Source organism: Homo sapiens, chromosome 12 (genome assembly GCF_000001405.40).
Source record: "Homo sapiens chromosome 12, GRCh38.p14 Primary Assembly".
NCBI classification, from domain to species: Eukaryota; Metazoa; Chordata; class Mammalia; order Primates; family Hominidae; genus Homo; species Homo sapiens.
In genome coordinates, this window is record NC_000012.12 from 4,983,628 (window position 1) to 5,005,795 (window position 22,168).

Genomic DNA, 22,168 nt, shown 5'->3' on the forward strand with positions numbered 1-22,168 from the left:
AAGAGCCAAGGCCACCATCCAATGCCCCACCAGCTGTGTACTGCACAACTCCAGGAGAGGCGCGTAATCCAGACTGTGATATGAATGATGCAGCCTGGAGTCATGCAACATGGCAGCCTGATAGAGGGTGCTTGGGAGAGATGGGGGAGGTGTAGTGAAGAATCTTGAGAAATTTCACTTTCATTTCATCTGTCGCCTTGGCTATCAGTGAGCAATTGCACAGAAGACATTGGCTGAGCAACCATTGAGTACTTGGGGTTTACCGTATCTCTGCCATTCTCATGTACTGTACAAGCAGGGGCTATTGAGGGCTGTCTGGTAATAATGAGCAGTGCTGTCTAGCCAAGGTCAGCACCCTTCAGACCTGGGACACATCATTAGGCACATTTCAGTACAGGTGGATGGATTCATCGGTGGGCCTGAGCCCCCTTGGCTTCACATTGTGGATGTCTCAGAGCAGTGTGGGATGATGGTGGCAGTGTAGTTCTACTCCCTCCTTCTGGAAATCAGAAACTGAGGGCCAGAAGGAGAAAGTGACTTGCTGAAAACCAAGAGCTTGATAGTTTTTGATGTTAGGCTAGAAGTTCAGTCTCTTACCTTGTAGCTCAGTAATATTTTCACCAAACGTCACTGTCATTGAGTGCCATTTATTTATCCTTCATAGAATGAAGGGTCGTGCTGATAACCCATCAGGGTAAGCAACCTCAGCTGCTCTGATAGGCAACCTCTAGAGCTCAGTAGCCTAATACAAGAAAAGTTCATGTCTCAGTCTCATCACAACCTAATATGAGTTGGGTGGCTCTCTCTGCAGTTACACAGGAGTGTAGGGGAGTCCATCTCATGGCAGAAAGAATGGAGAAAACACACCCACTCTTAACTGCCTCAGGCAGGGAGTGACGCACATCTTTTCTGCTCATATCCCATTGGTGAGAACAATCCCAGATCATGTCTAGATGCAGGGAGGCTGAGAAGTGCAGTTTAGCTGTGTGCCAGGAATATGAGATGGGCTCAGTGAGCGTCCAGTCAACATATGCACAGTTATAATGTGGAAAGTCACATCATGGCCATTATCTCCAATGCTAGCAAAGCAATGGCTGTTGACTGAGTGGTTATCTGTTCTTTATCCCAGAGCTATCGCCTCCATCTCCTGTGTCTCTCCCCATGTTCTATTCCACAGGTGGAGACTGTGACCCAGAGAATTCAGTGACCTGTCCAGGGTCATGTTCAACCACACAGTTCTAGAACGTTGACCCAAGAGGTCTAGATTTCAGAAAGTACCCTTCCTCTCCTCAGGCATACCTGAAGGTATCTTCGGGTAGCAGATGCCTTCTCTCAGAGGATGTGCTCACAGCTGCACACTGCTGAACAGGTTGTTTGCAGTGGCAGATGATGGCAGGCAGTAAGGCCCCTGGGGAGGGAGAGGGAAAAGGAGAGAGCAACACACCTGTCTTCTCTCCGAGCTGTTGTTCCCCTGTCTGCCAGCCACGCTTTCCTCTTATGCTGTGATGAAACTGTTTATTTTTATTGACAGCAAGCACCGCAGCTTGGAATATTTGTCTGCGAGGAGAGAGCAGCCGGGACTGATTCTGGAGCCTGGCTGTGCGTGGGGATGTGTGCTTGCCGGCTCATGCAGGCAGCTGCTGCTTTGGTTTCAGCTTAGCTTTCCCCATGGCATAGAGCAGAAACCAGTGTTTCTTTCCTCCTCTAGGCACCACAGATCTCATGACCTGGGGAAGGTTATTTGTGGGGAAGGCATTGATTTGGAAAGAGACATGAGTAATCAGTTTCTCCCCCATGCTCATCTTCTGGGGTCCTTGACATAACCTGATTCCTCTAGAGCCCTTGAAGCCCCTTCTCTGGGGTCAGGCTTGGCCCTTTCTGGGTTCATACACTCTCCAGGCGCTTTCATACCACTGCTATTGCAACCCTCCCGACAGCATGTCGGGCTCATCATTTATCTCCCTTTGTCATTTCTGCAGGCATTATGAGGGCGAGACCAGGACATGGAAGACTTGATTTGAATCCATTCCGGTTCAATCAGTTGCCTCAATCAGTTAATTCATTCCTCATAGTTACAAAGTTATGGTCTCTTCAGAAATCACTTTTCAGTTCCTGGAGTCCCCAACCAATAACCTTTAAGCCTTTTGGATTAGCAACCTTAATTCAAGCTGTTGAAGCTTCCATAGAACCAACTTTCCTTTTTTTTTTTTTGTTTAGAAAAGAGATATTCAACTTTCTTGAGCTTCTTGTTGAGAGGCTCTGTTTTAATTGCTCTCATTTACGTTATTATCTCATTTAACGATATTGTCTTATTTAAAGAGGAACTGTGAAAGACAGTTCCTGAAAAAAGAGATGTGGTCAGTTCTTGTGTGAGAGACACTTGATTAGACACTGTAAGGGTCAAAGGTGGTTTTTAAATGGCTTCGTCCCTCCAGAAGCTCAGTCTAGTGACCATGGTGGTTAATCGCCATCAGAGTGGCAGTACATCTGGGCTCCAGAATCAGCAGCATGGTCCACCAGTTCCTGAGTGAGCTCACGTTTTGTGTCAGGCAGTGAGTGCACAAAGCCGTTGACATACATCACTTTGTTTATTCCCCCCTCACTCCTAGGAGATAGGTGCTGTTACCATTATACCCATTTTGGTGGTTGGGTAACCTGAGTCTCAGAGAGGTTGAGTCACCTGTCCAAGGCATCGAGCTAGTGTGTAATAGAGCTGTTTCTATTTTTGTTTTTTTGAGACAGAATCTTGCTCTGTTGCCCAGGCTGGGATGCAAGGGCGTGATCTAGGCTCACTGCAACCTCTGGCTCCCAGGTTCAAACGATTCTCCTGCCTGCCTCCCAAGTAGCTGAGACTACAGGTGTGTGTCACCATGCCTGGCTAATTTTTTGTATTTTTAGTGGAGATGGGGTTTCCCCATGTCGGCCAGGATGGTCTCAACCTCCTGACCTCATGATCCACCCGCCTTGGCCTCCCACAGTGCTGGCATTACAGGCATGAGCCACTGAGCCTGGCTGGTATAGAGCTGGTATTTAACCCACCTCTGGCTGATTCCAGCACCATGATACTGACTCCATCATATACCATGCAAATAGAAGCCAGAACCACAAAAGGGCTCCACCAGGCTTACAAATCAAGTGCCCAGGGGAGGGGAAAGCTTACTTAATTCTCACAGGAGAGCCTGGGAAGGTGGCCTCAATGAGTTTGAATTTGAGCTGGTCCTTAAAACATTGGCAGGGCTCCCAAAGGCAGATTTAACAGGGAGCCACTCCAGAGAACATCAAGTCAGGAAGCTGGAAGTTCTGCCTGAAGCAGGGCTGTGAGAAGCCCACCTGAACGGTGGAAGGAGCGGATTCGTGTTTTTCCTCACTTGTCCTTCCAGCTGTCTCAAGTGGGAGTATTCGAAAGATATTTACATTATTGTAAAGAGCTGGGTTATTCCCACCCATTTTGTAGATGGGGATCATTAAGCTCTGTTGAGAATAACTGAGGCTCAGAGCACAGGGCCTACAGGAGTGCTTTGCTACCTGTCCTTGGGGAACGCTGCCTGCCGAAAGCTGGAAACCCCTGAGCAGCCTGTGGCCCACTCAACTCCAGGGTGGGAGGAGGAGGCAGGCATCCAGGAACGGGCCACAGAGCCTTCTCCTGCCTGCCTGGCAGCCATCCACCTTCCATCCTTCCCTGAGCTCTTGGCTTCCCCAGACAACAAAATGGAGCCTGTGTTTTGTAATCTCCGGCACAGCTTGAGCCATTGTTCCTGGAGATTTCCAGGCCTCTTCTTTGGAGGCAGAGGCTATGGGTCCAAAGGTGAAGAGGCAAGGACCTCAGGCCCCTCCACTAGCTGACTTTCATTTCTTGCCTGCTCTGTCTCCAGCTGTGTATCCAGTGACTGGTACACATTGCTGCCCCTACGATTAAGGACCTCAGGTTTCTTCTCCGAAAACAACCAGAAATGAGCCATAAAACAGCCAGTGACTCACTGTCATTAAGCAAATGAAGTGTAATTGAAATAGTGACGTGCTGAGGTTACAGCAAGCATAATCCAGCCATGATTACAATAGGAGAGATGGAGGGCTGGCAAGAGAAAGGTCTTCCTGGCTGCCGGGATCGAGAGACTGTTTGAACAGGGGTAAGGGTGGTGAAGGTAACCTCTTCCGTGGACATTTACCATTAGGACAGACAGGTCGGGTGACCAGAGGAGGGGCAGGAAATCCTGAAGAGGCTATTCACCGCCATCAGGGGCCTTGGGGAGAGTGCTCTCCACTTGTAGGGGAACACGGTGCTTCTCAGGTGTGACTGCACCAAATCACTTGGGGGTCTTGTTAAAAGGCAGACTAATTCCAATGGTCTGGGTGGGGCCCGAGGTTGTGTATTTCTAGCCAGCTCTCGGGAAGCCGCTGCTGCGGTGAAGCTCACACATGGAGAGCAAGGGGTTCTCTTGGCTGTCACACTTGAGACAGTCGGGTTCTCTCCAAAGCAAGTAGGTTTAAGACTCAGGTATGACTTTTCAAAATTGAATTTCTTCAAAAAGAAAAATCTTAAGGCATCCATCTGGGAGTGGAAGAGGTGAAGACCAGGCATGGAAGAAGAGTGTATTTTGCTTGTGCCAGGGGAGTTGAGTGCGACTTGAGGGCTAGGTTCAGCAGATGAGCCCAGGACCCAATCCCCAGCTGACCCCACCATGCCGGGGGCCAGACACCACCTGCTTCATGGAGTCAGGTCAGCCTCACTCCCCAGGGGCATGGCCTCACTGGGAAGGTGGGGCACATCATTCTAGCCTTACCCCCTAGGGCCCACCTTCCAGCCGCATTTATTAAGGCCAACAGGGTCTGAGGAGAGCAAGATATTCTGAATTCATGAGAAAGCAGATTACAGAGCTTCTTAAGCACTATCTTTGGGAAGCATCTGAAAGGCGCGATCTGGAGTTCCTTGGGGTCTGTGCTCATCATGAGGTCATTCTCACCCGCAGCCTGCATGACAGGTGCTTCAGGGAGGTGGATGCTGCTCAGGAGCTTTAACAAGTGGTTCCTTGGGGGCAAAGGAGCAGCAGAACTCACCGATTTGCCACCTTGTTGATTTATACCACTCATCAGCTCAGCCAGTCCTCCGCTCAGCTGAGGAAAAAGGAACACTTTAGTGCAGGTTGGCTTATTTGTCATAAATTCAAAATCACAAAGACCCAAACTGCAAAACACCTAGGAAATGGGAAGGGCCCATACCAATGATTTCCATTCCATTTCTCCAGCCTCGGAGCAGGGACTGGTGGAGGGTTATCCCAGAGAGATAGGCTGAGAGGCTGGCAGTGGTCAGTGACATGGCTCCTTGAACCCCCTTCCAGTCCAGAGGCCTCTCTTGGCCACCTGGCCCACCAAAGTAGTCCAGCCTCCTCGAGCTGCCCCTTTCTGCCTCTGCCTATCAGCAGCCCCACTCTACAACCGTTCCCCTAGTCCATGGTTCTCAACCTGGTGTGATTTTGTCCCTAGAGCACATTTGGCAATGTCTGAAGACATTTTGTCACAGCTGGGGCAGGTGCTACTGGCATCTGTGGGTAGAGGCCAGGAATGCTGCTAAATCTCCTACAATGCACAGGGCAGCCCCCACAAGCAAGAATTATCCAGCTGAAAATGTTAATCATGCTGAGATTCAGAAATGTAGACAAGTGCCCAGAGGTCTGGGAGGGACTTGGGAGAGCCAGAAACACAGGTAACCAGGTTAAGACTTTACCAGAATACATGCCTTAGAGCAAAGTATTAGGGCTTAAATTTCTCCCCTTAAAAAGAGGACCCCCTATAACTTGCTGTTTGTTTCACCTACCTGCAGCTTTTTCATCTGCCTGTGATGCTGTCGTCAAGTCTTTTTCCCCCCGGCATCAAGGTGGTTTTAGTAAGTGGTTGTGATACAGCAGATGAAGGAGAGAAAAAGCCAGGGTCTTCTTCATTTTCATTCCCTACTGGACATCTTTGACATCACCCCAGGGTTAGAGTCAGGCAGGAGAAAGGGTACAGGTTGTGGAATCAGAAGATCCTGGGTTTTGGCTATGCGACCTTTGGAAGTGAGCTAATCCCTCTGTCCTCAGTTTTCCCACTTGGAAGACGCATGTAACCATGCCTTTAACCATACAAGGATTAGAACATAGTGGGTATTCAGAAAATATTAACCAGCACCCAAAATTTTTATGAAATGCTTTTTTTTTCCACCTAACACTGGATGACCAGGAAGAGAAATCAAGTCCCAGAAGTCTAGTAGTAAGCACACTGAAGACAGCAACCACCACTGGCACATATTCAAGATTCATGCTAAACAAAACCAGTTAAATCTTGACTATGTGCAAGTCAATTATCTGCTCATCTATCTGCATGCTAAGTCTTGGTTTTGCCAAACTTCAGGGCTGAGCCAGAGAGTGTTGGAGATGTGGGTAGCCGTACAAATTAGGGAGTAGTGCAAGTGTGAGTGTGCCTCTATAGCTCACTATGGGTGCCAGGATGGACATGCATATCTGTGGCTGGGTGTGCAAGACAGTGTGTAGCCAAATTAATTTGATTCCTAGACCACATGTAAATGCATTAATGATTAGTCTTGTGTTAAGTGTTTTGTTCTTCTCAGCCTCCATTAGAAGTAGACATGCTAACATTACATAAATACTATGCTTTTTTTCATTTATTTTTACTTATCTACTGCCTCTTTCCCCAAAAAAGGACCTGAGATAGTTCACAACTAAGGATATAGGTGATACGTAAGTGAAGTTATAGGTATAAGTGTAACTATGGTATAATATGCTTAATATAGAAATATATTTGTATATCAAGATTAAAAGTTATGTTAATGCTGTAGGCGTATCTTGTCACTATAATTGATCATCATGTTTATCTCTGAGCTTCTTGCCAGCCAAGGTAAAACAGGGAAAGGGAATAAAATTATATAACACAAATTTTTATGTGTGGCCCTGAAGAACAAAGTGGATAATGTCAACTACAATCTTACAACAGATGCAGAAGTGGATTTCACAACAAATCTTGATGAAAGCTGAGTGCATAGCATCAAACTGCAATTTAGTGATGATGGCTCCACAAAGCTCCTGAGAGGCCAGTGCTTTCAGCATTTAGTTTGATATGGGATGAACTTTGAATGCCCAAAGGAGTAGATGCATCACCATTCCTTATGCTTTCTTCCCTAAATATAATATTTCTGGCTGGGCTTTTTTTTTAAACCAGGAATTGTTTACAGATAATAAGGTGATACTTCCTTGCAGAGACCTGAGTGCTGGACTTCTAGATCATAAGCAGATAGAAAACTTATATAGAAATTCCCATCTGTGTTCCTGGCATAAAGTAGGCACTCTGTGTACATCTTTCTGTTATTTGTTCATTTTTTCCATTTGTTCATTCATCCACCCATCTGTCTGTCTGACCCTCCCCTAATTTTGGAAAACAGAGCCAAAGGACATAGTAGTTGCCAGGTAACTTTTTGAGATGAGCTTCAGTGGCTGTGACATGGGGGCTTCCATTCTCCAACCCCCATACATGACTGGGTCCTCACTTGGAGTAGTAAATGCTCATGGGACAAAGCTGAGATGAACAGGCCTGGTTGTTTAGCAGAGAAACTGTTGTTGTTACATGGACGGGCGACGCTGTAGGAAAGCAATCTGCAAGGCCATCCCGAGAGTGTTTAATTAATTAAATGGGTTCACCAGCTGAGAGCCATGCTGCAAAATAAAAGGCCTGTGGTGTCCCTTTCCTGAAAGGAAAACAACCCATCCCTCATTCCATTCTTAGTTATGTATTTATAATTGCAGCCATGCCTGTTTGCGCAACCAATGATATAGGTATAAGTCAATTTATGTGTGTTTTTAGCACCACGCTATTCAGTTGCCAAGAAACACACTACTTGCTTCATGGTTTACCTAATCCACCCTGTTAGTCCTTTGCAATGTGATCCATTTCTTTGTCCTTGGTTAAAGCAATCACGTGACCAGATTATGCCTGAGATTCTGCTCTTATCATCACCACCCTTCATCTCCTGTGTGGGTGCACACAGTCACAGGCACACATACATTCACATGCACACAAATCCGTGCACACACATCCACTCACATACACGCATTCACATGCATACAGACTCATTCACATGCATATACATCCACGCACACACACTCACATGCACACACTCATTCACATGCATACTTGCTCACATACACACATATTCATGCACGTACAGTTGCTCACATGTGTACAAATCATGTGCACACACTCATGTGCATATACATTTGAGAGCCCAAAACTTCGGAAAGAAAGAAAAGATAGAAAGATAGAACACAGCTTTAAGCAGGTACAAGCAGCCTCTAACCCTCTGAAATTCCCCTTGTGACAACCCACATAGCTGTCACATCTCATGGAGCTACATTTGAATTCTTCAGTTGCTGTGCTATTCTGACTAATGCACTTTCCTGAATGTCTGAAAGTTAACCAGAACATCCCCCCTCTTTTTTTTTTTTCTGTTGCACCATGCTACTAAAAATCTTCCTACAGGCATTAGCCCTTTTTCCAACCTTGGCAAATATCATAAGTAAACGAGCCTGTCTTTGAATGATAAAGGCTCATTGTAGTTGAGAATAGAGGCTCATTAAGGCGTAAATGACATGGATTTTGGAATGAGACAATCTGGTGTCTCATTTCGGCTTTGAATGGCACTTACAGGCCATGTGATTTCTGACACCTGGCTTAACTTTTATTAACCTTGGTTTTATTTACTAGCCTGCAGAAATGGAGATGACTATATTTACCTTGTAGAGCTATTATGGAAGCCATAAGCATTGTAGGAAAAGATCTGGAGCTTAGTGGTATCCTGTATAGGGCAGATGTGTTGTTTTGGCTTCTATTATTGCAGAGAGTGCCAGAGTAACATATAATGATAAAAGATGCAGGAAATGGAAATTGAGTCAAATGTAGAATCTCCTCAGGGCAGTCTTTTTTGAAAACTGAATTCTGATGCCACAGCTGATATCTTCCTTTTTAATAAAGTGGAGTCTAATGAGAACAATCCACATCTGATGTAGCTACACAAAGTTTCTCCATGGAGAATTGGCATCAGTGGTATATGTAGGTCTATGGGGCCAGCATAGGGTGAGGGATCCCTTTGGCTGTCCCCAGGCTCTGCTGGACCATGGAAGGAATGCAGGAGTAGAAACGTTGGGGACTTTCGCCCCAGCCACACAGGAGAGCAAGAGGGGAGGCAGAATCAGACTCCCAAGATCTTGCAGTTGGCTGCCTGGTCCTCGAGCCACATGGGGTCCATTCTGCACTCAATACAGTAGGGGTTGGTTATTCCTGGCAGAATTCCCTATTATTAAATAAAGAGAAACTTAAGGAAGCAAATAAAAAATGTTTCTTGTGCATCTTAGGCTTCTTGTGGCTTTTAAGGCAAAGAACATTTTGAGGAATTGTTAGCAAATCATAAACATATGGGTTGCAGTACTTGGCCTCAAAGATAGCTAGATGCAAACGTAACCAGCCTGGCCAACATGGTGAAACCTTGTCTCTACTAAAAATACAAAAAATTTGCTGGGTGTGGTGGCAGGCGCCTGTAATTCCAGCAATTTGGGAGGCTGAGGAAGGAAAATTGCTCGAACCTGGGAGATGGTGGTTGTAGTGAGCTTAGATCATGCCACTGCACTCCAGCCTGGAGAACAGAGTGAGATTCCATCTCAGAAAAAAAAATAAAGAAAGAAGGAAGGCAAGCATTGGCAGAAAGTGTCATTGGGAAGCTACCTTCTTACCCTCAGGCAGGTACATCTCTTTTTTTCTGGTTAACTTTCAGACGCATCGTAGGAGAGGAATATCGAGATGAGGGTGGCAAAGTCTTTGCAATAGGAGGGACGGTGGCTCCTGAGAACTGTAGACCTACCACATTTCTAAGAGCAGGATGGTATCCGAGTGGCTTTGTATTTGCCAAGGCACAATGTACAACCGAAACCTCAAAGAGTCGACTTTATAGAAAAAAACCGAGGCTGCTGAAATTCCTTTCCTTCCTTTTCTCTTATTCAGAGCATCCTAAAAGCAGGCTCTGGCATTTTCCTAATATAACAAGTTATATTAGGGACAAAACATAGAAGACAGAGAACTAAGAAATCCCCAGCTCCCAGTCTCCCTGGTCTGTTCTGCTTTTACCATTGGATTTTTAATTATTAATTAATCATGAATTAGTAAATAACAAACAATGAATGATAGGAAAGCATTGCACTGTCTTCCACTGCATCTAGAAACACTAAATGGCAATCCTCATAATAGACTCTCAATAAATATAATTAAATGCCTACTACATGCCAAGTGCTCTGCTGGGCACATTGGAGATCACAGAGAAGCACTGTGTCCCCAGCTTCTCTAGGGGACCCCAGAGTCTGTTGGGGAATGCCAAGAGGCATCGTGAAAAAATTCACTGTTCTTATCAGGCAGTAACTGCCAGTGCCCGGTGATCAGCTGGCCAAGCTCCTGGAGACTATAGACCAGGAGTTAGCTGGGAACCTGTTTTCTCCTTGTGTGTTTCATGACATTAATTTCAGTAGGAGAAATCCCAACTGGATGTGCTAGGTCTTCCAGCAGCAACAATTTTTAAACCTGGGGAAGGAGTTTTTTTCGTTGTTGTTTGTTTTGTTTGTTTTTATTTTTGAGACAGAGTCTTGCTCTTTCACCAGGCTGGAGTCCAGTGGCACCGTCTTGGCTCACTGCAGCCTCCGCCTCCTGGGTTTAAGCTATTCTCCTGCCTCAGCCTCCTGAGTAGCTGGGACTACAGGAGCCTGCCACCACGCCTGGCTAGTTTTCGAATTTTTTAGTAGAGACGGGGTTTCAACATGTTGGCCAGGATGGTCTCGATCTCCTGATCTCAGGTAATCCACCCACCTCAGCCTCCCAAAGTGCTGGGATTACAGGCGTGAGCCACCACACCCGACTGGGGAAGGAGTTTTTAAGGAAGTTGAGAGAGATTTGGGGGGAGGAGGGATTATTCTTTCCCTCTTAAATCTTGGATCCAAGGAACTTGTGTTTGTTAGAAAGAAGAGTCGTGATGCCTTTTGTCCCAAGGACTTCACTTGACATTAAATAGCTACCTGAACTGGAGCACACAGTTCACACTCACATGTGCACATGGTACAGGCTGAACCACTGCCATCGCTCTTGCTTCCCCCAGGACTTCACCCTGCCTAGGCTCCCAGCCAGTGGAATCTCTGACATCCACGGGCCTTCCTGGGCACAATCAGTGCTTGTTACTATTAGAGTCCTCTCCTGATCACCTGCGGGATACACTCAGCCTTGACATGGTTTCTGCTTTGCTTGTGACAGTGGTGCACAGCTCAGCCTCCTCTCTCCAGTGAAGCCACCCATTCTTAAAGAGTGCCCAAAGCTGCATTATAGCTCTGCTGTCTGTCTTCCCTCCTTTAGCCTCCCACAGCCTTCTTCAAAATCTATTTGAAAATAATCTTATCTCCTCTACATCTCCCAGACCGTCTGAAGCACTGTTGCTTAAAGGAATGAGCTCCAACTTTGGGGAAAGACAAGCATCCTTTTGGAGCAGGGCTTGGCCACTTGCTAGCTGTGTGACTTTTGGTGGGTAACTTGACCTCTCTGAGCTTCAACTTCTTCTTCTGTGAAACAGGGTGGATGTGAATGTTACAGGGTGACATGGCCAAAGCATCTAGTATGGTGTCTGGCACATGGTGGGGAGTTGTTATTTTTAATGCACCCCCTTCATTTTCTGATATGTGCACAGCTTGCACTAGCACAGAGTTAATTTAGCTTATGCTGCCATTTTATGTATGTGTTTTATGAGCCAGCACTTTGTTAGTCACTTTCAATAGAGGTTATCTCATTTAACCCTCCCAACTGTTTGTGTGATGTCGATGCTATTTTCTCCATTTTCTAGATAGAATAACTGAGGCTAGAGACCAGGCATGTGAAACGGGGTTCTCTAAGGACTCCACTAGCCCCTTTCCATCCCCTCCCACATCTGCTTCATGCTTATTTGCTTATCTCAAGGGAGATGACACAAATGAGAAGACACAATCCCTGTCCTCAGAGAGCCCAGAGTCCAGGAAAACCAAGAATGTCAGCAAGAACTCTAACCAAGCTTCAGGGAAAACAGACTCAGGTGCCTGTGGGCTGATCAGGCATGGCAGTGTACAGCAGGTGGTGAGGCAGTAGAGAAGGCATGGGCCCAGGTCCTCCAAGATGAGCTTCATGTAGCCTTGGACAACATGGGCACCAGAATAAAGGTCAATGGACCAAGAATCAAGGGGAGGAGAATTCCATATGGAGAGCCAAATGCACCCTCAAGAGACATAAGCAAATAAGCATGAAGCAGATGTGGGAGGGGATGGAAACGGGCTAGCGGAGTACTCAGCACCAGCAGAATGTGTGTGCTGGGATGGGGGTTCCGGGCTCAGGAATGGATTAAAAGGAAACCCATAGCTCTGTTGTCAAGGAGCTTGCAGTTTGATTGGTGGGAAGTTGAGCATTGAGAGAGAGAGAGAGAGAGAGGAGAGAGAATTGCATACACTTGCATGAGGGCAGGGACTGTGCTTTTCAATTTCTATTGGAGCGTCTTGCCTGTAGCATGCAATGCATCCCAGGTCTCTGGCCTGGCAAGTTCCTCAACCAAGTCACCTCTATGGAGAGCAGGAGGCAGCAAAGACTTGCAGACTTGCAGGCAAGTCAAGGGGCAGAAGTTGCTTTCTGCTTCTCAAGGTGAGAGGTGCAGGCCTTTGCTGGGGCACTTCTGGGAGGCTCCTTTTTGTGGCTAAGCTACCTGCCAACAAGGATGATTTCTCCAGGTATAAAGCTTTACACTAAGTTATGAGGGAGGCAGAAAAATGAGAAGACACAATCCCTGTCCTCAGAGAGCCCAGAGTCCAGGAAAGCCAAGAATGTCAACAAGAACCCTAACCAACCTTCAGGGAAAACAGACTCAAACACCTGTGGGCCGACTGGGCATGACAGTGTACAGCGGGTGGCAGGGAAGTGGAGAAAGGGTGAGCCAGGGTCCTCCAAGATGAGCTTCATATAGCTTTGGACGACACAGGCACTAGAATGGAAGGAAATGGGCCAAAAATCAAGGGGAGAAGAATTCCATACGGAGAGCCAAATGCAGCCTTTTAAAAATTAGGGCCACAATAGAGAAAAGGGAGGAGGAAGAGGGGAAAGGTATGAGGGAGAAATCAATATCCTGACTGTATTGGCAAGAAGCTGGTAGGTCTATTAAGCGACCCAGAGGATCCTGGTGACAAAGTGAAGTGACAGTTTGGAGAAGTGAAAACACAAAACAAAACCACGGGCTCTGGGCTTGACTTCAAGTCCTGCTGTTGGTGTTGGCCATCCAGTCATGGACAAGTCACTTACCTCTCGGCCTCTATCTCCTCTCCTTGACCATTGGGTAATGGCACCCACCTTGCAGGTCAGTGAGAAAGAAAGGAGCTTGCTTCAGGGTGACCTTTGTCCTTTCCAGAGCTGTGGAATCCAGCCAGGTGTGGTGTTCCTCTACTATGACCTGACCCAGTTCTGACCCAGTTAAGAAGTATAAAATACAAGCCAACTTTACATCCCTTTCCTGTTTTTTGTTTGTTTGTTTTTTTGTTTGTTTTTAAATTAGAACAATTCTTGAAGTAGGCATCTCATTTTTGAATGGTAAACTGAGGCGCAGTCAAGCGTACCAATGGCCTTTATCCCACACTGTGTAGGAATTGAAGCGCTGGGATGCAGCCTTCCTGCTCCAGACCTGAGGGCTTTGCATCCGAATGTGCCTGAGAATTCCCTGGGGCCCAGTGAAGAGCTGGTTCTTTGGACCCACCCAGAGGAGGGTGCAGACTTGGAATGGGGCTAGAGTCTTCATTGCTCATATGCTCTCCGGGGTCTTCTGACCCAGGGGGCCCAGGGACCACACTTGAGAGCCTTTGCTTTAGACCCCATATGTTCTTCCTTCATCTGTGGTCCTTCCTCTCTCATGACACAGAGCATCTTTCACGGATGCTCTCTTTTTCTGCCCTGCCCAGGCTCCTGGCCCCAGCATGTTCTGGTGGCACTCTCTGAAAACCCCTGCCCTGGCCATCTGTCATGGCCAGAGGCGGCCAATGGATGGGGTCCAGGCTGGTGAGCTGCCTACATTGCCAAGAGGGGACCCTTGGAGGGCTTATAGGCGGCTGAGCCAGGGACTCTGGATCTTGCCCTTCTCTCTTTCCCCCATGGTGAGGTGCTTGGGGCAAGGCTGAGCCAGAACTTCCCTGGAACTTCTCTGCTGAGCATGACTTGGCCGCCCTCTTTCCCTGAGCCTTCTGCTTCGGGGCGCTAATCTTACTTCCTCTGGCATTAGTCTCCCAGTCTCTTGCCTCCCTTGAGCTCTCTTGCTCTTTCTCCCAATCTCCTGTCTGATCTCACCCCACTGCGATCCCCAGCACCCAGCCTGCCAGAATGGAGCTGGGAGGCAGTGACTAATGTGCTTGGAGGTGAGTCATCTACTAAATATAAAAACCCACTCACATCCCTGGATGCAAAAGATTCCGAGAGACTCCGTGTCCTTCCCCCTAAATCCACCCTTCCTCAGGGGACTGAGAGAAGTTGATTCGTGAACAGAAAACAAATGCCAAGGAGCAGCCACAGCAGCATCATCTCATTGCCCTCAGCTCCTCCCGCAGATCTCTAAAGGCAGGAATTTCCCTGTCTCTCTAGTTGCTCTAGAAGGAAGGAGTAGGGTTGGGAAGACCGTGATCCCCACCCTCCGTGGAGTTACGAAGGCAGCAAAATTGATCTTCAGGACCTCTCCCTCTCTTCTTTCTGCCCACTTTCTTGTTTAGGAGACCTCAGACTGCCCAGCCTCCTGCAAATGTAAAGATGAGTCTTTTAAATACATTGATATCTTGCAGGTCTTGGCCGTGCCTCACTGTATGTGATTGAATTGATGGGTTTCAGGTATGGGCCCTACCTTTGGACAGGTGCCCTCCCTTAGGGTCATTCAGTTCCCGCTACAGAGAGTGCATCTTGCTGGGCTTGACTGCTGTGAGTCTTTGTTCACATGGGAATAGGGGTCCTCTGTGCATGCGTGCATGTGTGTGTGTAATACCACGTATAGATTTATTTTTATTTTTTTATTTTTGTGTGTACATAGTTGGTGTATATGTTTATGGAGTGCACTTGATGAAGGTATACAATGCGTCGTGGTCACAGGTCAGGGTAAAATGGGGCATCCATCACCTCAGGCATTTACCCTTTGTGTTACAAACAATCTAATTATACTATTTTAGTTATTTTTAAATGTACAATTGAATTAATATTGACTACAGTCACTCTGTTGTGGTATCAAATACTGGATCTTACTCATTCTTTCTAACTATTTTTTGTACCCATTAACCATCCCCACTTCCCCCTTGCCACCCAACCGCAGGACTTGAAGTCTGAAAAGCTGAGTTCTAGTCCTCAGACAGGAACTAACTTCCTCTGTGACTTTAGACAAGTGTCTTCACCTCTCTGGGCTTCATCCTCCTAAAATCTGTTTGTAATGGAGTCTTACTAAATGCTCTTGGAGGCCTAGCCCATCCCTTTCTGTAATCACCACATACCCTTTGCTTACATGGAGGGTGGTCTGAAGGTCTCTCTCTGGGGAAGAAGCACAGGTGGCCTCCCTGGCCATGTGCCTCACAGGTATGTACCTGTGCACACATGCGATGTGGGGAAAACACCAACTGATGGCCTGACAAGCATTCACTCTCATATCCATGGTGCAGTCACTGCAGCCTGGAACAAAGAGAAAACGCAGTTCTCACCTTTCGAGGACTGTGATCTGAAATCGGATGGCACATCTTCTCATGTGAAATGTGAACTTGATTCCCTCTCCATCTTTTCATTTTTCTTTCTCTTTATGTTTTTCCATTCTCAGGCTTTTTGAAAGGCAGAGGAAAGACCATTTCAGTGGAGGTTAGAAGGTATGAGTAGTAATACAGGGAGATAGAAAAAGACGAAGAAGAAATGTGACAAATAAGCATTGTGCCTCTAGACTCCACAGGACTAAGCTCTGGTCTCTGCTGGGCCACTGTGTGACTTTAGACCCAGCGCCTGCCCTCTCTGGGCATGCACTGAACAGGAGGGCTTGAATGAGGTTTCCTTTAGCCAAAACATTCTAAAATTATGAGGTTACACAATTGAGGCATGGAGGAGAGAGAACCAGCCCTTGGGTGATGCTTACCATGAATGAACAATCTAAAAAGTCCCTGAGGATGAGCATCACTTTATTTTTAATAACTAAAATAATAAGTCATTCTTCTTTTGGCTCATTCAAAATGTATTTGTCTAGTGCCAATGAGTTTCAAACCTCCAAAGCGGCTGCCTGTCATAGGTGGGGTCTTTGTGGATGGGTCGCATGCCGCACTAAATGTTATGGAATTACCAGAGCAGACTGGCACATAAGCATTTCCTGATGCCATCAATGAGGTTTCTGAGAAGTGGTTTGCTCAGGTCGCATGGCTAACTTGTGGCCCAGCCCTACAGAGGACAATTACTTCCTGCTCTCCGTGAAGCTGGGCCAGTCTTTACCCTGTGGATCAACCAGGTTTACTCAGCAGGCCCTCGTCCTCTCTGACTTGGGGATGGGGAGAGTGAAGAGCTAGTAACCTTCTCCCAACCTTTATGCATCCTGGTAGATCTGTGGCTAGGCAAAATGTGCTTCCCTCTGGAACCTGCTTCTCTGGAACACAGCTCCTAGGTGGCAGTATTGGTGAAGGGATCTACACAGCTTGCTGTGTACACTGCCTCAAGGGGCACCACTGGCGTGCATTCTGTCTGGAGGCTCCATGGTTCTGCTCTGTGCCCCCCTCACCTCTCTGGTAACGATGCTCAGGGAATTTCAGGGTCCACCTTGCTGTCCTGGGACAGAGTCCTGGTGGTGATCTGGAGGTCCAGGGCACAGAGGAAGCAGAATGCTTTTTATCTGTGTCTAGATTTCTCCTTTTTCCTCCTACTGGTAGCCCCAGCAGAAGCCACCTGGAACTTAGCTCTCCAATTCACACATTGAAAGACACTTTGAGGGGTCACCTGGATTCCTTCCCCCAACCCAGGGAGAAGATCCAGACTCATTCAATGACCACAGCCTCTGAGGGCAGAGGAGGACAAGCTGCTGCCCTCGGGTGGCCTGGACTTCCCACTCCGAGCGAGTGGCTACAGCTGCAGCAGGCTCTGCAGTCCTCTTTGCATTCACATGCTCTTCCCTCTTCCCCTCAGCAGGGGCTGTGGCCGCCTCTTTCAGGGTCAGAGAGTCCTCTGGCTCCCCTTGCAGAGGCAAGAGAAAGAGGATCACAGCATTTTCATGCTCTGGAGCAACAGTGACCTGTATATCTGGAGGCTCTGGAGAGCTATTTTGTCAAAACTGAGCAAGCATGCCACCAGTTCCTTCATCCGGCAACATTTTTGAGCACCTACTATGTGCCAGCCATTTTCCCCATGCTGAAAATGCACTTGGTCACAGCAGGAGGCCTCTGTGTATTGTGAACTCATGAATGAGACCCAGCCCCGGGAGGTGCGTACCCATGTGCTCCTGTCAATCTGGCTGATAGTGCATGGCAAAACTCAGAGCAGCAATCTCCTGGCCTTCCTCCTCTGCCCCAGTTAATTAGGGAGAATAGTGCTGTGACCTACTCACAGTGGTGAACAAGAGAAGGTTTGGGGGACTTCGAGTGCCTTAGAGAAAGAAGCACCCACCTACAAAGTGTTTCCTGCAATTGCAGCAGGAAAGGCAACTATGATGGCTTGAGCCCAGTTAAGAGCAGACACCTCAGATAAAGAAATGGGATGCTGTCTTCCCAGGGAGAGAGAAGCCTATGCCTCAGCTGGTCAGGAGAATACAGGCTTGCTGCAAGTTGGTTCTACCCAGTGTGGGCTGCTAGGGAGGTTGAGCAGTTCAGAGACATGGAGCCCCACGGCCACTGTGTCTCCTGGGAACACAAACCTGGCTCCTAGCACGAGAAGCAGCAATGGAGAAGGGAGAACTCTGTGGCTGCAGGTGCTCTGTGACTCTGCCCTCCGAGGAGCCCATGGTTGGCCTGGGAGCCTTTGCCTCGTAGAGCCTCATCCTAACATTGAGGTCATCTCCAAGCTACCGAGTGAAAGAAGTATACCCCAATGCAAGCAGCGTTAGCACCCAGCATTTGCATTCTGTGCATGGCTGCTCTTCCCATCATCGGGGGCTGAACTGCTCAGGTTCATGGACACCCACCTCGCAGCTCCCTGCTAGGGCCTAGGACAGTGCTGGTGCCTAGCCAAGTCCATTTCTGTTGCATTGAATTGAAATGAGTTAGGGGCTGAGGGGAAAAAAAAAAGAAAAAGGCTTGTGATTTGTCCCATGGAAACTCATGTTATTCTTGCCAAAATCTTTGAAAAAGAGAAGCAGAGTGTGCACATTTTTTAAGGGTTACAGTCTTGTTTTTTTTTTACATCTCAGACTTTTCACATCAGGCCTAAGAGGAGCAGGCTAATGGGTATCTTGGAGGGCTGGATGAAGGGTAGCGGGGTCATGGCCACCCCCTCTGCAGGGCAGGAACCAGAGCAACAGAAGTAACAGAGAAATAGAAGAGCCTGGACATGTGCTGGTCTTTAGGGGAATCAGGAGATGGAGGAACAGTGTGGCCCCTCCTCTTATCCTCTGGTCATGGGATGCAGTGGCCTGTGGTCAGCACGCGGCAGGCACTTCTTCATCTGGCCCTGCCTTTTTTCCTCGGCTCCAGAATGGGGAATGAGCCACCACTCTTTGTAGATTTGTTGTGAGAATACAATGAGAAGTTGTGATAGTCAACGAAGTTCTTTACGTGTGTTGATCCATCCTGGAGCTTCACTACCTTTTCCACAATACCAGGGTTTGCTCATTTTCCAAAGCCCCAGTGTCCTTATAATTGGTGGTCCCATGGGGGGAACTGCAGGAACCATGAAGCCAGTTCACCCTGTGCCAGAGCCCTGGCTTTGTCATGCACCAGCTATGTAACTGTGGGCAAGTTTACCACTCATTACAAGTTAACGTGTTAACTTGTAATCATCATACTCACTTTGCAGAAGTGCCTGGAGGACCATCTGAGCAGAGACATGTAGGCAAGCACCCAGGACAGGTTGGCTGGACTGACCTGTATCTCACATACACTCCTGGGCATGCACTGAGGCCCTCCTCTTGTTTCAACTCTTCAGGCCTGCTTCTTCAGGCAGTTTTTGGGTTAGGAACATTTACCTTCCTCATTTTGCGGAGCAGGGTGCAAGCCTGTCTTTCCAAAAGGTGACGTTGCCTGGGTCAGAACACGCAGAGCGCTGGGAGCCCTTAGTTTGGGCGTCCCCACTGCAGGGACAGCCAAGGAAGTGAGGACAACTCCTGTTTCAATCTTCATACCCTGGGTGAGGATACGGAACTTGCATTTTATGCCTTTTCTCTACTTGGTACCTCAGTGGCGACCTCTGAGTTAGAGGTGTCACAACAGGGCCAGTTAGTTTCTGTTCATCAGGAAGCCCAAGGTGCCTTTGGAGCCCGGGTGGCAGAACTGACTGGCGTTGGCTGAATCCATGGGTCGCCTCTGTCCTCTAGTGGCGAGAGAGGGAAAGGCATTGGCCACTCCGGGCCAGGCTTGCCAACCAGATTCAATTGCCTTTGAGTGATGGTGTGTATTTGGTCACCTGGAAACCTAGCAGCACCAGGCAGCACAAACCCAAGCAAGGCCAACACACAGAAGTCATCACAGAACACATTCCAGGCCTGGGGTAGAGGGTTTCACTCACCTGTTTATTTGTTCATTCATTTATTCATTCAACAAATATTTATGGAGTGTCTGCTATGTGTGGGCATGGCTCTAGGAAGTAGATCAAGACAGTGATCAAAACAGGCAATGAGGCAGTGACGTCATTGGCAAGATGGCAGAAAAGGACTTTTCAGCACTTGCCCCTTCACTGAAACATGAATTTGAACAACAATCTGTGCACGAAAATACCTTCAGAAGAGCTCAGGAATCTGGGTGATAGATTACAGTACCTGATTAGTCAGTGTGGCGATTCCTCAGGGATCTAGAACTAGAAATACCATTTGACCCAGCCATCCCATTACTGGGTATATACCCAAAGGACTATAAATCATGCTGCTGTAAAGACACATGCACACGTACGTTTCTTGCGGCACTATTCACAATAGCAAAGACTTGGAACCAACCCAAATGTCCAACAATGATAGACTGGATTAAGAAAATGTGGCACATATACACCATGGAATACTATGCAGCCATAAAAATAATGAGTTCATGTCCTTTGTAGGGACATGGATGAAATTGGAAATCATCATTCTCAGTAATCTATCACAAGGACAAAAAACCAAACACCGCATGTTCTCACTCATAGGTGGGAATTGAACAATGAGTACACATGGACACAGGAAAGGGAACATCACACTCTGGGGACTGTTGTGGGGTGGGGGGAGGGGGGAGGGATAGCATTAGGAGATATACCTAATGCTAAATGACGAGTTAATGGGTGCAGCACACCAGCATGGCACATGTATTCATATGTAACTGACCTGCACATTGTGCACATGTACCCTAAAACTTAAAGTGAAATAATAATAATAAAATAAAATGAAATAAAATAAAAAAGAAAAGACACATTGAAGGCAGTAGGAAGGACAGCTTCAGATTACCTGTGTCCTCACACCCCCAAGCCTATGCAGGGCATCACCGAGAGATACCTTCTACGTGGAGGAAAGAGAGCGAAGTGACCGCCAGTTTCACTGTGGACCCTAGTGCTAGGCTAGCCCTTATGAATCCAGGATCCTGGAGTCTAATAATGTTAACAGAAAAACATTAAACAGATTAAATTTAATAGAGTTTAATTGAGCAAATAACAAAAATTCATGAATCAGTCAGTCCTCAGACCAAATAGGTTCAGAGAACTCCAGGCTGCAACATGGTCAGGTAGCATTTATGGACAGAAAATGGAAGGGAGGTGCAGAGACCAGTTGATGGGTTATGGCTTCATTTGTCTTATTTGAGCATGTTCTTATCAGTTGGCCCCCTGCAACTGACTGAAGCTCAGCTGCTGAGACTGGCTGAGACTCAGTTACCTGTTATAAAATTATACTCCTAAGTTAGGCTTGCAGTTAGTTTCCATCCTATGTTAGGTTGAAGTTAATTAAAGAGGGACTCAAAGTGCAGAGGCATTGTCAGACCAAATTTAATTTAATTTAACAATAGAGTGGTTAAGCGTATTTGGGGGGGAAAAAGATCCAACTATATGCTGCCTAAAAGAGAGTCACTTCAGCTTTAAAGATACATATAGGTTGAAAGTGAAGAGATGGAAAAAGGTATTCCATACAAATGGTAACCAAAAAGGGGAGTGGGGTGGTTATTCCAAAATCAGATAAATTAGATTTTAAGTGAAAAACTGTCACAAGAAATAAAAAAGTTTTATCCTACGTATAATGATAAAGGGATAAACTCATCAAAAGCATATAACAATGATAAATACGTATGCACCCAACATTAGAGCACCTAAGTACATAAAGAAAATATTTTAAAAATTAAAGGGGGAAATAGACAGAAATACAATAATAGTAGGAGACTTCCATACTTCACTTTCAACAATGAATAGATCTTCCAGATGGAAAGTCAGTAGGAAACGGTGGACTTGGACAACACTATAGACCAAATGGACCTAACAGGCACATACAGAACATTCCATCCAACAGCAGCAGAATTATGCACACACAGAGAGCATTATGCAGAATAGAGGGAGACATCACACTACCTGATTTCAAAATATTCTACAAAGCAATAGTAATCATGACAGTATAATACTGGCATGAAAATAGACATATAGACCAATGGAACAGAATAGAGAACCCAGAAATAAATCTATTCATTTTCAGTCAATTGCTCTTTGACAAAGTTGCCAAGAATATACAAGGTGGGAAATATATTCTTTTCAATAAAGTGTGTGGGAACAACTGGATATTCACATGCAGAAGAATAAAACTGAACCATTTTCTCACACCATATAAAAAATCAACTCAAAATGCATTAAAAACATAAAAGTAAGATGTGAAACTACTAGAAGAAAACATAGAGAAAAAGTTTTTTGACATTCATCTGGGCAATGATTTTTTGGATATGACCAGAAAAGCACAGGCAAC

At 46.6% G+C, this 22,168-nt stretch overlaps 1 annotated feature.

Annotated features, from left to right (window-relative positions):
* Window positions 215–264: an enhancer, noted in NCBI's record as "active region_5835". NCBI's record gives its function as "activates an Ori minimal core promoter by ATAC-STARR-seq in GM12878 lymphoblastoid cells {active_cell/tissue: GM12878}" and the evidence as "EXISTENCE:reporter gene assay evidence [ECO:0000049][PMID:35858748]".